Below are 15,471 nucleotides of genomic sequence, written 5' to 3' on the forward strand. Positions count from 1 at the left end.
GGGTGGAAATGTGTTCTAGTGAAACTGCAGAACGAAAATATCCCGTCTTACTCTTGACCCTTGAAGAAGCAGGAGCTGAATTCAGGTGCCAGAGGCTGCGTCCGCGCGCTCCACATCAGTCTCAGAGTGGAGGCGAGCCCAGGCCAGAGGCCTCTACCCCGGACGAGGCTGCAGGTGCCTGACGGGAGGAGTGACTGCAGCTCAGCAGAGGGAGTGTGTGGAGTGTGCGGCCCTGCCTGGCTTTTATTTTGCTCCTCCTGTTATTGGGAGGGATTAGCAGCAGAGCGAATGTTTGGATCTTTGCTGAGCAGTCCCATCGGATTTTTCTTTATTAAATAGGATTGTGTTTTATTGTAAGAAGGTTTCCCTAAGACAAATAACGAAGGAAATTCTGGGTCCAGGAGTACAGACTGTAGCTTCTGTCATCTCTTGCCAAGTTCGTAGCCCTCAGATGGTGTCTGTCTTTCCCCTTTGCTTGCGGGGCCTTTTACCACAGCACTTTGGTGTTCTTTTAGCTGCTGCGATAGGACTAGCTGTTAAAATCTGAGATTTTACATTTTTGCCAGTCGCAATAAATTTTGTTAGTTCTTTCTTGATGTGTTCTTTAAAATAATAATGCTTTTTTTTTTTGGGTGGGGGACAGAGTCTTGTGCTGTCGCCCAGGCTGGAGTGCAGTGACGCGATCTCGGCTCACTGCAAGCTCCGCCTCCCGGGTTCACGCCATTCCCCTGCCTCAGCCTCCCGAGTAGCTGGGACTACAGGCGCCCGCCACCACGCCCGGCTAATTTTTCGTATTTTTAGTAGAGATGGGGTTTCACCGTGTTAGCCAGGATGGTCTCGATCTCCTGACCTTGTGATCCGCCCAGCTCGGCCTCCGAAAGTGCTGGGATTACAGGCGTGAGCCACTGCTCCTGGCCTCATCTTTTTTTTTTTTTTTTTTTTTTTTGAGACGGAGTTTCACTCTTGTTTCCCAGGCTGGTGGAGTGCAACGGTGTGATCTTGGCTCACCGCAACCTCTGCCTTCTGGGTTCAAGTGATTCTCCAGCCTCAGCCTCCTGAGTAGCTGGGATTACAGGCGTGTGCCACCACACCCAGCTAATTTTGTATTTTTAGTAGAGATGGGGTTTCTCCATGTTGGTCAGGCTGGTCTCGACCTCCCAACCTCAGGTGATCCACTCACCTCGGCCTCCCAAAGTGCTGGGATTACAGGCGTGAGCCAACGCACCTGGCCTCATCTTGTTTTTTTTTTTTTTTTTTGAGACAGAGTCTTGCTCTGTCGCCCAGGCTGGAGTGCAGTGACTCAGTCTCGGCTCACTGCAAGCTCTGCCACCTGGGTTCATGCCATTCTCCTGCCTCAGCCTCCCGAGTAGCTGGGACTACAGGCACCCGCCGCCACGCCCAGCTAATGTTTTTTGTATTTTTAGTAGAGACGGGATTTCATCGTGTTAGCCAGGATGGTCTCGATCTCCTGACCTCGTGATCTGCCCACCTCGGCCTCCCAAAGTGCTGGGATTAGAGGCGTGAGCCACCGCGCCCTGCCACATCCTGTTTTTTTTACAACAGGGTGTCACTCTGTCTCTCACCCAAGTTAGAGAGGAGTGACACAGTCTTAGCTCACTGCATTCTCCCAGGCCCAAGCAATCCTCCTATCTCAGCCTCCCAAGTAGCTGGGACTTTAGGTATGTGTCACCACAGTTGACTAATGTTTTAATTTTTGTAGAGATGGGGCCTCCACATGTTGCCCAGGTTGGCCTTCCTGGGCTCGATCCTCCTGCCTCAGCCTCCCAAGGTGGTGCATGCCTACAGTCTCAGTAGATTAGAATCACCCTAACCCTCAGTAACTGAGATTGTAGGCACGCACCACCTCACTGACTCACCTCAAACTCTCTTTTTTGAGATGGAGTCTCTGTCACCAGACTGGAGAGCAGTGGTGCGATCTTGGCACACTGCAACCTCCGCCTCCTGGGTTCAAGCGATTCTCCTGCCTCAGCCTCTGTAGCAGCTGGGACTACAGGCATGCGCCACTACGCCCGGCTGATTTTTGTATTTTTTAGTAGAGACGGGGTTTCACCATGTTGGCCAGGATGATCTCGATCTCTTGACCTCATGGTCTGCGCACCTTGGCCTCCCAAAGTGCTGGGATTACAGGTGTGAGCCACTGCGCTCGGCCCATCTCAAACTTTTAATAAGGCTCTTCGTATAGAAATTTTTAAAAAATTAAAAACATTTTTGGCCAGGCTTAGTGGTTTAAGCCTGTAATCCCAGTGCTTTGGGAGGCCAAGGCAAGCAGATTACATGAGGCCAGGAGTTTGAGACTAGCCTGGCCAACATGGCGAAACCACGTCTCTACTAAAAATACAAAAATTTGGGCAGGTGCAGTGGCTGACACCTGTAACCCCAACACTTTGGGAGGCTGAGGTGGATAGATCTCTCGAGTTCAGGAATTTGAGACCAGCCTGGGTAACATGAGGAAACCCCATCTCTGCAGAAAATACAAAAGTTAGCTGGGCGTGGTGGTGCATGCCTGTGGTCCCAGCTACTCGAGAGGCTGAGGTCAGGCTGAGGTGGGAGGATCCCTGGAGCCTGGGAAGCGGAGGTTGCAGTGGGGGATGAAAAAGAATACCCCGTGTCCAAATAGCAAAACACTCTGAAATGAGGCAAACCGTGGTTTGTTGAACAGGTGTTCTGGGACAAGGTTGCCGAATATGCATTAGCCGTAATCCCCAGGACAGCCATGCAGGGTGGGTCTTAAACAGTTTTTTAGATTCTCGAGTATAAAGGTATAATATTGAAGAATAAGCACAAATAATGTCATCATACATGTTAAAGTGACAACACAGGATTTACAAAATTACCCTTTTTTCCCCAAAATTACCTCTTACGATGTGGTTTCTGTTGGTGCTGTTTTCTCTTGCATCATCCCGCCAGGTTGGGTAACCCTAACTGATTGTCACCAGCAGACCAACAGACAGACTCACAGCATCCTTCTCCCTGGTGTGAGCACTGCTTAATTCACATTTATGAAAATACTTTAAGACAAGGGCACTGTAACTCACATAGAATCTGAAGTGGCCTTGAACAGGGAGCTGGTCCAGCTGCCTCTTAGTGTGTCTGACCTCCAGGTGGGCGGACTGAGATGCGTGCAGGTGTTCATGGTATAGGCATCCTTGTAAACCTGCTCTGGTTAAGGATAAATAGGCAAAGTTGTGCTAATGCTGTTCCTACAGCAGCCTTTGCCCTGGACTGACTCCAGAACAGCTGGCTGACTGACAGCTGCCTCCCAGTAAAGCCTTAAACAGGCTTATCTTATATTTTTAAAAGGCAAAGGACAATAAGGCAGATTAATAAACTGTGGGGGTTTTTTTGTTTGTTTTTGTTTTTCTTGAGACAAAGTCTCGCTGTTGTACCCCAGGCTGGAGTGCAACGGCGCGATCTCGGCTCACTGCAACCTCTGCCTCTCGGGTTCAAGCGATTCTCCTGCCTCAGCCTCCAGAGTAGCTGGGATTACAGGTGCCCGCCACCACGCCCGGCTAATTTTTGTATTTTTAGTCTAGACGGGGGTTTCACCATGTTGGCCAGGCTGGTCTCGAACTCCTGACATCAGGTGATCCGCCTGCCTCGGCCTCCCAAAGTGTCAGGATTATAGGGTGAGCCACCGTGCCTGGCTTTTTTTTTTTTTTCCTGTCTTTTGTGTATGTGATGGGGTCTCGCTCTTGTCGCCCAGGCTGGAGTGCCATGGCACGATCTCGGCTCACTGCAACCTCTGCTTCCCGGGTTCAAGTGACTCTCCTGCCTCAGCCTCCTGAGTAGCTGGAACTGCAGGTGTGCACCACCATGCCCGGCTAATTTTTGTATTTTTACTAGAGATGGGGTTTCACCATGTTGGCCAGGCCGATCTCGACCTCCTGACCTCAAGTGATTGACCCACCTCAGCCTTCCAAAGTACTGGGATTGCAGGTGTGAGCCACCACACCCGGGGCTGGATTTTTTTGTTTTAAGAGACAAGGTCTCACACTCTTGCCCAGGCTGGTTTACAGTGGTGCAGTCACTGCAGCCTTCACCTCTGGGCTCGAGTGATCCTCCCACCTCAGGTTACAGGTGTGAGCCACCACACATGACCGCACATGGCAGATTTTTTTTTTTTTTTTTTCACGGAGTCTGGCTCTTGTCACCCAGGCTGGAGTGCAATGATGTGATCTCAGCTCTCACTGCAACCTCCGCCTCCTGGGTTCAAGCAATTCTCCTGCCTCAGCCTCCCGAGTAGCTGGGATTATAGGGGCGTGCCACCCTGCCCAGCTAATTTTTTTTTTTTTCTGGAGACAAAGTCTTGCTCTGTCACCCAGACTGGAGTGCAATGGCACCATCTTGGCTCACTGCAACCTCCGCCTCCTGGGTTCAAGCGATTCTCCTGCCTCAGCCTCCCGAGTAGCTGGGATTACAGGCACGTGCCACCTCACCTGGCTAATTTTTATATTTTTAGTAGAGACGGGGTTTCACCATGTTGGCCAGGCTGGTCTTGAACTCACTGACCTCAGGTGATCCGCCTCAGCCTCCCAAAGTGCTGGGATTACAGGCGTGAGCCACTATGCCCGGCCCAGGATTTTTTTTTTAATTAAGGAAAATACTTTTTACATCTAAAATTCTACGCGACAATAATTAATGTGTCTTCAAGCTGAGAATTAATTAAAATATAGCCAATAAAACATGTATTAAGCTTTGTAAACTTTGTCTATATATGTACTTATTTTACTTTTATTTAAAAATATGGGGCCAGGCACGGTGGCTCACACCTGTAATCCCACCACTTCGGGAGGCCAAGACGGGTGGATCACTTGGGGTCAGGAGTTTGAGACCAGCCTGGCCAACATGGCGAAACCCCTTCCATCTCTACTAAAAATATGAAAATTAGCCAGGTGTGGTGCAGGCACCTGTAATTCCAGCTACTCAGGAGGCTGAGGCAGGACAATTGCTTAAACCCAGAAGGCGGAGGTTGCAGTGAGCCGACATTGCTCCACTGCACTCCAGCTTGAGCAATAGAAAGACTCTGTCTTAATAAATAAATTAATAGCCGAGCACGCTGGCTCACGCCTGTAATCCCAGCATTTTGGGAGGCCGAGACGGGCAGATCATGAGGTCAGGAGATCGAGACCATCCTGGCTAACACGATGAAACCCCGTCTCTACTAAAAATACAAAAAAAGCCGGGTGTGATGGTGGGCGCCTGTATATAGTCCCAGCTACTCGGGAGGCTGAGGCAGGAGAATGGCGTGAACCTGGGAGGTGGAGCTTGCAGTGAGCCGAGATCGCGCCACTGCACTCCAGCCTGGGTGAGTGATCGAGACTCTGTCTCAAAAAAAATTAATTAATTAATTAAAATATGACAGTGGCCTGGGTGCCATCGCTCGCACCTGTAATCCCAGCACATTGGGAGTCTAAGGTGGGAGGATCACTTGAGCTCAGGAGTTTGCCTAGCCTGGGCAACTTAGGGAGATCCTGCCTCTACAAAAAATAAAAAATTATCCAAGTGTGGTGGTTGCACACCTGTAGTCCCAACTACTTCGGAGGGTTGCAGGAGTCCAGGAGGTCAAGGCTGCCGTGAGGTGTGATTGAGCCACTGCACTCCTACCTGGGTGATATAGTGAGACTCTGTCTCTAAAATAAAATAAAATAAAATAAATGACAGTGGTCCATATAGTACCTTATTCAGAAAAGGCTTGATGTACAAGAAAATAAGTTATTTGTGATCAGGACAGAGAAGAATTACTGCCTTTTGTGAAATGGATGCTGAGAATCAGTTACGATGTACGGTGCTTGGGAGGCTGACTTTGATTTCAGTTACAGCCCTGCTGATCCTTAGCACGGTGACTGCAAATAGGTTACTCCACCTTCCTGAGTCTCAGTCTTCTTAGCCGAAAAGCACAGATCATCATCATAATAGCTAACATTAACTGTGTGCCTGGCATAGGGTCTGACCGCTTTATTCAAGCCAGCTCCCAGACATACCTTGCTGGACTGTTTAATGCCCATTCGACAAAGAGGAGATCGACATGGGGAGGTGTTGAGTAACTTGCCTGGCCACTGAGTCCCTGTCAATGGCAGCTCAGACAGGTGACCCCAGAGCTACCCTCCCACCCCCTGACCAGGCCCGTCTCACAGGCCTCTTAGGAAGGGCTCTGTTCAGTAGATGGCAGGCACGTGGTAAGTGTTTCCTAAGCTGCAGCTGCTGTGTAGATAAAACTCAAAGCAGATATCACAAGTTTTGTCAGATCATACTGTCTCAATTTTGAGGTGAATGCATGTGTTTTACTACTTAACTACCTCTGAAATTTAGGGGTTTTTTGTTTGTTTTGAGACGGAGTCTCGCTCTGTCGACAGGCTGGAGTGCAGTGGCGCGATCTCGGCTCATTGCATCCTCTGCCTCCCGGCTTCAAGTGATTCTCCTGTCTCAGCTTCCCCAGTAGCTGGGCCTACGGGCATGTGCACCATCACGCCTGGCTAATTTTTGTATTTTTAGTAGAGTCGGGGTTTCACCAGGTTGGCGAGGCTAGTCTCGAACTCCTGAGCTCGTGATCCCCCCACCTTGGCCTCCCGAAGTGCTGGGATTACAGGCGTGAGCCACTGCGCCTGGCCCTGAAATTTCGCATGTTTTACGGTTGGCTTGTTAGGGTTAAATTGGTGCACCTTATACTTGGTTGCATACTAGACTCACTGGAATGATTTGACTTTCGTCATAGTTGCAGAGGCACTCTGAAACCCTATGTATGTGCTTCACCAGGGACAGCCCCACGCATGGGAGGTGGTGGCCAGCCATCACCCCAGGGTGAATTTCTCTAAGAGCAGTCCTAGGCCAGGGGGTGAGTGTGGGAAAGTCAGGGCCGTTTCCATCAGTTAACGTTTCAGAGCGGGTTCCCGCTGGAAGTGCTGGAAATACCCAGATGCCATCTGTAGCATTTTATGAACTGTGGCGGATCCACTCTCTGTGTCTTGAGCTTCTGCTCTGTGGTCTGCTCAGTGGAAGCATCCTGTCAGTCCACTGTACAGTGGGGTGGAGCCGCAGCCAGGGTGGGTGTGCCGTTTGATTGGTCACGGAATGAACAGGGCAAAGGTCACTAAGTAGATATGATACTGCAAGTAGGATTGTGGTCATAGGTATTTTTATGAATTTGTGTTATGTGAAGTTGAGGATTTGAATGTTGTGATTATTATATCCAGATAAAGTTCTAGCCTGGCACAGTGCAGGCACGTGCCTGTGGTCCCAGCTGCTTGAAGTGGGAGGAGAGCTTCAGCTCAGGATTTCCAGGCTATAGGGAGCTGTGGTCCCACCATTGCACCCCAGCCTGGGTGACAGAGTGAGACCCCATCTCAAAAAGAAAAGAAAAGAGGCTAGGCGCAGTGGCTCAGGCCTGTAATTCAAGCACTTTGGGAGGCTGAGGCAGGCGGATCACTTGAAGTCTGGAGTTCGAGACCAGCCTGGCCAACATGGTGAAACCCCCCCATCTCTATTAAAAATACAAAAATCATACTTACCCGGCAGGGGAGATACCATGATCGCGAAGGTGGTTTTCCCAGGGCAAGGCTTAGCCATTGCACTCCGGATGTGCTGAGCCCTGCGTTTTCCCCAAATGTGGGAAACTTGACTGCGTAATTTGTGGTAGTGGAGGGACTGTGTTCACACTGTCCCCCCCGCCCAAAAAAATAAAAATACAAAAATCAGTCGGGCGTGGTGGCTCACGCCTGTCATCCCAGCACTTTGGGAAGCCGAGGTGGGTGGATCACCTGAGGTCAGGAGTTTGAGACCAGCCTGGCCAACATGGTGAAAATTGGGAGGCCGAGGCGGGCGGATCCCAAGGTCAGGAGATCGATACATCCTGGCTAACACAGTGAAACCCCGTCTCTACTAAAAATAAAAAAAAAAAAATTAGCCGGGCGTGGTGGCGGGCGCCTGTAGTCCCAGCTACTCGGGAGGCTGAGGCAGGAGAATGGCGTGAACCAGGGAGGCGGAGCTTGCAGTGAGCCGAGATGGCGCCACTGCACTGCAGCCTGGGCGACAGAGCGAGATTCCGTCTCAAAAACAACAACAAGAACAACAACAAAAAATTAGCCGGGAGCAGTGATGCGTGCCGTAGTCCCAGCTACTCTGGAGGCTGAGGCAGGAGAATCACTTGAGCCTGGGAGGCAGAGGCTGCAGTGAGCCGAGATTGTGCCACTGCACTCCAGCCTGGGCGACAGAGCAAGACTCCGTCTCAAAGAAAGAAAAAGAAAGAAAAAAGTCTTCCCCGTGAGAGTAGATTTCTACTGAATCGATTGCTGGTTTTATGCCTTTTCTTCCGTGATAGGAAGTATGTCCAGACTCATCTGGCTGGGGATCCTCAGGAGAGCCTGCGGGGGGCAGCAGAGGCCCGCCTGGGCCAGGGCGTGCACCAGACCAGAATCCTGCGGATTTAGTATTGTGAGGGTAGAAGACCAGCAAGCAGCATGACCTCGTGGTTACTGATCTTATGAAGAACACTTGTCTTTCATATTTGGGACTGTGTTAAGGTTTTCTGGAATATTTTTGGTTGTAGTAACGATTCTGCTTTAGGAGCTTTCTTCTCTAGTGTTGCACAGACCTGAGTGATTTGACCAGCAGTGCTGCGGTAACGGAAGACCACTCGTGTCTTCAGACTCGTTCTGTTCCTGGGGGTGCTTGCTTGTTCTAGGCCCCCTTTGTATGGAGAGGTTCAAACCTTGATTGAATAGTCGCTACCCAGGTGTCATAACCTGTGGCCTCATTGGTGTCACCTGGACTTTTTGTCTGCTGTTTGCACCATCGAAAGTGATGTGCGCTGGCCGGGCGCGGTGGCTCACGCCTGTGGTCCCAGCACTTTGGGAGGCGGGGGTGGGCAGATCACAAGGTCAGGAGATGGAGACCATCCTGGCTAACACGGTGAAACCCCATCTCTACTAAAAATACAAAAATTAGCTGGGCATGGTTGCGAGTGCCTGTAGTCCCAGCTACTCGGGAGGCTGAGGCAGGAGAATGGCGTGAACCTGGGAGGCAGAGCTTGCAGTGAGTGGAGATCGCGCCACTGCACTCCAGCCTGGGCAACAGAGCGAGACTCCCTCTCGAAAAAAAAAAGTGATGTGCGCTTGGGACTGGGAGGGCGAGGCCCGAGGTACCTGGGTGCCCGATGCCCAGGAGGGCATGAGTGTCGTGTTGGATAACCTGCTCTCCAAGTAATAGGGTTTTGAGAATGTTTTTTTTTTTTTTTAATTGAGACAGAGTCTGACTCTGTCGCCCAGGCTGGAGTGCCATGGTATGATCTCGGCTCAGTGCAACCTCTGCCTCCCAGGTTCAAGCGATTCTCCTGCCTCAGCCTCCCAAGTAGCTGGGACTACAGGTGCCCGCCACCACACCCGGCTAATTTTTGTATTTTTAGTAGAGACGGGGGTTCACCATGTTGGCCAGGCTGGTCTATCTCCTGACCTCATGATCCGCCTGCCTTGGCCTCCCAAAGTACTGGGATTATAGGCCTGAGCCACCATGCCCGGCCTGTTCAATTCTTTGTATTCAAATGTATATCTGGAGTTATTTTGTTCAACTTCTGATCTGCTTTTCTTTTTGAATTACTGTATTCTAAGCATCAGTTTACAAGAAAAAAAATCTTTATTAGGTTTCCAGACCCAAGTCAATACCAATAAAATTAATGCAGCAAACATTCACTGAATGCTCTATTAGGACCTGGGGCAGTAGATGAGTCTGTGAATTAAAAGGGCTTCAGCATGTGGGGTTTGGTTTTGTTTCTCTGTAGCTAATCATACCTTTGGAATGGTTTTATAGTTTCAGGAAACCGTGGTTCTGGGCAGGGTGGCAGCTATGGGTTGAGGCAGTTGATCCTTCCTCAGGTGTGGCCGCTGGTCTTGTTGCTTCTTGACATTAACTTTGTGACTCACGAGGGCAGGCGTTCGTTTTCTGTGGCACTCTGTGTGTGAGCGAGCATGGGGCTTGTTACTGTGTGAAAAGGGCCAGCTGCCCTGCCTGTCTGCTCCTCCCTGGCTCGGCCGGGCGCTGCCATGGCTCCAGCTCAGATTCACTTCCTCTCGTACTTGGATGCTTGGTGATGGTCGTGGAAGCAGTTTTATTTTCTCTTGCTGTTCTCGTGTTGCGTTAAGCTCAGCATCACTGTTGCTTTTTATTCTTAGAATTAAGGAGGAAAGCTGAAATCTTTTGGGGATTTCTGTGTTTCCAGGGACTTTAGGAATTCTTTTTTTTTTTTGAGACAGGGTCTTGCTCTGTCAATCAGGCTGGAGTGCGGTGGCGCGATCTCGGCTCCCTGCAGCCTTGACCTCCTGGGCTCGAGTGATCCTCCCATCCCAACCACCTGAGTAACTGGGACCACAGGTGTGCACCATCACGCCTGGCGAGTTTTTGTATTTTTTTTTTTAATAGAGATGGGGTTTCACCATGTTGCCCAGAATGATCAAACTTCTAGGTTCAAGCAGTCTCCCCACCTCAGCCTTCCAAAGTGTTGGGATTACAGGCATGAACTGCCATGGCCGGCTGGAAAGTCTTTACATTTGAAATTCATTTTAAGTTAGGAGGAAAGGCCTAGCACACTGGCTCATATCTGTAATCCCATCACTTTGGGAGGCTGAGGTGGGCGGATCACTTGAGGCCGGGAGTTTGAGTCCAACCTGGCCAATATAGCAAAACCTCATCTCTGCTAACAATACAAAAATTATCTGGGCATGGCGGCAGATGCCTGTGATCCCAGCTACTCGGGAAGCTGAGGCAGGAGAATCGCTTGAACCCGGGAGGCGGAGGTTGCAGTGAGCTGAAAGTGCACTACTGCACTCCAGCGTGGGCGACAGAGTGAGAATCGGTCTCCAAAAAAAAAAAAAAAAGAGTAAAGGTGAGGGACACCTGTGATGTGGCACACAGCGTCTTTTCTCTAGCTTGCTTTGTTGACTCTTGTTTATAATTTCTTCAAATGTATTTACAGAGTTAATTGGGTTTTTTTTGGAATAGATAATATCTATTCCAAATAAAAATCCAGAAATACACATTCAAACTGTGGGGCTTTTACCCTTTTAACTGTGTTCCAAGTCCCTGTCCCTAGCATGCTCTGATTGTCAGTCCTTCCCTTGCCTGACCTACCTGTCTGAGTATCCTTTGGCAGTCAGGTTTTTGTTTGTTTGTTTTTGAGACGGAGTCTCGCTCTGTCGCCCAGGCTGCAGGCTGGAGTGCAGTGGCGTGATCTCAGCTCACTGCAACCTCCAACTCCCGGGTTCAAGCGATTCTTGTGACTCAGCCTCACGAGTAGCTGGGACTACAGGCGCCTGCCACCACGTCCAGCTAATTTTTGTATTTTTTAGTTGAGACGGGGTTTCACCATGTTGGCCAGGATGGTCTTGATCTCCTGACCTCGTGATCTGGCCACCTTGGCCTCCCAAAGTGCTGGGATGACAGGTTTGGCCACCGTGCCCGGCCGGCAGTCAGTTTTTACATGGTTCATCACAGATTTTAAATTAAGATTCCCCAGCAGGATAAAAGAAATGCCAGTTGTATTTTATTTTTCGTATTTGTATTTTTAGCAATTTTTTTTTTTTGTATAGAATGAGCCAAGGGCATCTAGAGCAAAGAGGTAGTTCCCTGCCCCGTCTCCATCTCCCTGTCTGCACTGTCTCTCCCAGAGGTGTTTGCTGGTGCCTTCTTTGCAGTTCCCTGTGCTGTGTCATGCCCGTTTGCTGACCCAGCCCCTGCTGTGTCTTCCCCATCCCAGTGTGACTGTCGCTCTTGGTAGTTCCTCCGTGTTTCCTTTGTTTCCTTAGGTGACTTGTCTTTGCCCCACTCCCTGCAGTCCGCAGCACCTGTTGTCTCCTTCCCTCTCCTCCCGCTTCTCCTCAGACGTCATCTGTTCTTTCTAGAGTTGTTCCCCTTGCCCCAGGGTCCAGGGTTCCTAACAGCCTGTTTTTTTTCTTTCTTTTTTTTTTTTTAGTGAGACAGAGTCTCGCTCTGTTGCCCAGGCTGGAGTGCAGTGGTGCGGTCTCAGCTCACTGCAGCCTCTGCCTCCTGGGTTCAAGTGATTCTCCCGCCTCAGTCTTCTGAGTAGCTGGGACTATAGGCGTGCACTACCATACCTGGCTGATTTTTGTATTTTTATTTTTTATTTATTGTTGAGACAGGGTCTCTTTGTTGCCCAAGCTGGAGTGCAGTGGTGCCATCTTGGCTCACTGCAACCTCCACCTCCTGGGTTCAAGTGATTCTCCTGCCTCAGCCTCCCAAGTAGCTTACAGTAGGGATTGCGGGCACCTACGACCACGCCCAGCTAATTTTGTATTTTTAGTACAGATAGGGTTTCACCATGTTGACCACCTGGTCTCAAACTCCTGACCTCAGGGGATCCGCCCACCTTGGCCTCCCAAAGTGCTGGGATTGCAGGCGTGAGCCACCGCGCCAGGCCCTAACAGCCACCTTCTTAGCATCTGTATATTCAGACCGTCCATTGCAGGATGTGTGATCTTTGTGGCCTGGAATGTCTCTCTCTGAGCACTCCATCCTCCCACCCCTCAGGCAGTGTCTCTTGAGGCCACCTGCCCAGCCACCATCTTGGGGGGACCACAGGAGGCTGGGGAGAGAGCGAGGCAGTAGTGAGAAGCCGGGACGCTCACCGTTGGCCGAGTACCTTAGAGCAGCCCTGACGCCTGCTTCTGTCTCTTGGTGAAAGTGGCGCCCAGACTTCAGTCCTTACAGCCCAGAACTCAGAACCGTGGAGGTGCTGTGACCCACAGGGTTTACCTTGTAATTGTTGTTAAAACCCTTCTGGGCTTCATAATGGAATGCTTATGTTGAAATATTATTTTAAGTACTATTATCTATGATGTGGTTAGAAATGCCAAAGAATTTTTAGCTTTTTTGAGACGGAGTCTTGCTCTGTTGCCCAGGCTGGAGTGTAGTGGCGCGATCTCCGCTCACTGCAAGCTCCCCCTCCTGGGTTCACGCGATTCTCCCGCCTCAGTCTTCCGAGTCGCTGGGACTACAGGCGCCTACCACCATACCTGGCTAATTTTTTTTGGTATTTTTTGTAGAGACGGGGTTTCACGACGTTACCCAGGATGGTCTCGATCTCCTGACCTCGTGATCCACCCGCCTCGGCCTCCCAAAGTGCTGGGATTACAGGCATGAACCACCGTGCCCGGCCTTTTTTTTTTTTTTTGGTAGATGGAGTCTCGCTCTGTCGCCCAGGCTGGAGTGTGGTGGCGTGATCTTGGCTCACTGCAGCCTCCACCTCCCTAGTTCAAACGATTCTTCTGCTTCAGCCTGCTGAGTAGCTGGGATTACAGGCACCTGCCACCACGCCCTGCTAATTTCTGTATTTTTAGCAGAGATGGGGTTTCACTGTGTTGCCCAGGCTGGTCTCAAACTCCTGACCTCAGGTGATCTGCCCTCCTCGGCCTACCAAAATGTTGGGATTACAGGTGTGAACCACCACGCCCGGCCAGAGTGTGTAGCTTTTGTAAAAGTTTTGGAAATGGCCTCAGATAATTTCAGAGGTTTTTAAATAAAGAACGCTCAAAATGGAGCAAAATGGAGAGCCCCTGATAGGCCTCCTGCGTGGAGGTTTGCAGTAAGCCAGAGGCACCTGTGGGTCCCAGGGAGAGACGGGCTGCTCCATGGATGCTCCTGGGACCTGGGGCACTGGGTGGGCCTCAGGCAGATAGGAGCTGGTCCGTATCTCTTGCCAAGCCCAGGCCAACTCCTGATGAAGCAGATTCCTGTGGGTGACAAGTGTCAGAAGATAGAATAGGACCTTAGGGTCAGGAAGGATTTCTTGAACAAAAAAGGGGAAAAACAGATTGAGAGATTCAGAAAGCTGTAATATATTCTGTGACCTCAAAGGTGACTTGGAGGAGGGCTGTTGTTCAGCGACGGGCGTGTAGTGAACACTGGGGCATTTAAACGGTTCAGATGCTGAATTTAATGTTATATGTTTTTTACTACAATTGGTAAAAAAAAAAAAAAAAGCTTGTGCTCATCAAAAGACACACCATAATAAGTAAAAAAAGAACTGTGAACTGGAAGATACTTGTAACATTTTTAACCAGTGAAGGGTCGGTGTCCTGGATATGTCCACTGGGCACCACAGACAGAACGGCCTTGAAGGTAGGCTGGAGACGCCTACCCTTATCAGGCCAGGCAAGCACTGGGGAGCCTGGCCGTACCAGTCATTGTTGAGGCTGCAGGAATGGCAGGGAGCCCTAAGTTCCAGTGGCCACTGGTGCAGTCCTCAGAGAGCAGTTGGCACACCGCCTCAGGCTGAGCCTGCCCATTCTTGGGCACCCAGAAGTTCCACTCTTAGGTATACACCAGAAGAATTCTTCCTCGACTGTTTGTGCTGAAGGACAAGGTTTAAGTTTTTAAAATTTCCAGTGTCACAGACTGATGATATTTTTGTAAACTACAACAAAAGTGACTAGCTAGTAAAGGAAATCACAGAACATAAAATACAAACCCATGTCATTATTATTAATATTTTGAGGCAGAGTCTCGCTTTGTCACTCAGACTGGAGGGCAGTGGTGCGATCTCGGCTCACTGCAACCTCTGCCTCCTGGGTTCAAGCGATTTTCCTGCCTCAGCCTCCCAAGTAGCTGGGATTACAGGCGTGCACCACCATGCCTGGCTAATTATGCCTGGCTAATTTTTGTATTTTTAGTAGAGATGGGGTTTTGCCGTGTTGGTCAGGCTGGTCTCAAACTCCTGGCCTCAAGCAATCTGCATTCCTCAGCCTCCAAAAGTGCTAGGATTCCGGGCATGAGCCATCATGCCTGGTTATCGGGGGAACCCGCCCCCAATATTTCAATGTAGGTTCTTTCTATTTTCCATAAGTGTCGGCCAGCTGAGAAATAAAGAGAAAGAGTACAAAGAGAGGAATTTTACAGCTGGGCCCCCCGGGTGACATCACATATCGGTAGGGCCGCGATGCCCGCCTGAGCCACAAAACAAGCAAGTTTTATTAAGGATTTCAGAAGGGGAGGGGGTGCAAGAACAGGGAGTAGGTCACAAGATCACATGCTTCAAAGGGCAAAAAGGAGAACAAAGATCACAAGGCAAAGGGCAAAAGTGGAACTCCTGATAAGGGTCTGTGTTCAGCGGTGCATGTATTGTCTTGATAAACATCTTAAACAACAGAAAACAGGGTTCCAGAGCAGAGAACCAGTCTGACCAAAAATTTACCAGGGTGGGGTTTCCCAATCCTAGTAAGCCTGAGGGTACTGCAGGAGACCAGGGCGTATTTCAGTCCTTATCTCAACCACATAAGACAGGCACTCCCAGAGCAGCCTTCTGTAGACCTCCCCCCAGGAATGCATTCCTTTCCCAGAGTATTAATTCTTGCTAGGAAAAGAATTTAGTGATATCTTCCCTACTTGCACGTCCGCTTATAGGCTCTCTGCAAGAAGAAAAATATGGCTGTATTTTGCCTGACCACACAG

General features: G+C 50.0%; 1 protein-coding gene and 1 pseudogene across 2 annotated transcripts in view, besides 2 other annotated features; both read left to right on the forward strand.

Moving 5' to 3' along the window:
* DNAJC5 (DnaJ heat shock protein family (Hsp40) member C5) overlaps nt 1-15,471 on the forward strand; it is a 40,886-nt gene that overhangs the window by 6,311 nt on the left and 19,104 nt on the right. The window lies entirely within an intron of this gene.
* RNU1-134P (RNA, U1 small nuclear 134, pseudogene) lies at nt 7,519-7,683 on the forward strand (annotated as a pseudogene).
* Nucleotides 8,920-9,419: an enhancer, noted in NCBI's record as "H3K4me1 hESC enhancer chr20:62541709-62542208 (GRCh37/hg19 assembly coordinates)". NCBI's record gives its function as "activates a minimal SCP1, AML or CMV promoter by ChIP-STARR-seq in naive H9 embryonic stem cells {active_cell/tissue: H9 hESC(naive)}" and the evidence as "EXISTENCE:reporter gene assay evidence [ECO:0000049][PMID:30033119]".
* Nucleotides 10,841-11,341: an enhancer, noted in NCBI's record as "H3K4me1 hESC enhancer chr20:62543630-62544130 (GRCh37/hg19 assembly coordinates)". NCBI's record gives its function as "activates a minimal SCP1, AML or CMV promoter by ChIP-STARR-seq in naive H9 embryonic stem cells {active_cell/tissue: H9 hESC(naive)}" and the evidence as "EXISTENCE:reporter gene assay evidence [ECO:0000049][PMID:30033119]".

This window comes from Homo sapiens, chromosome 20, assembly GCF_000001405.40.
Source record: "Homo sapiens chromosome 20, GRCh38.p14 Primary Assembly".
Classification (NCBI taxonomy): Eukaryota; Metazoa; Chordata; class Mammalia; order Primates; family Hominidae; genus Homo; species Homo sapiens.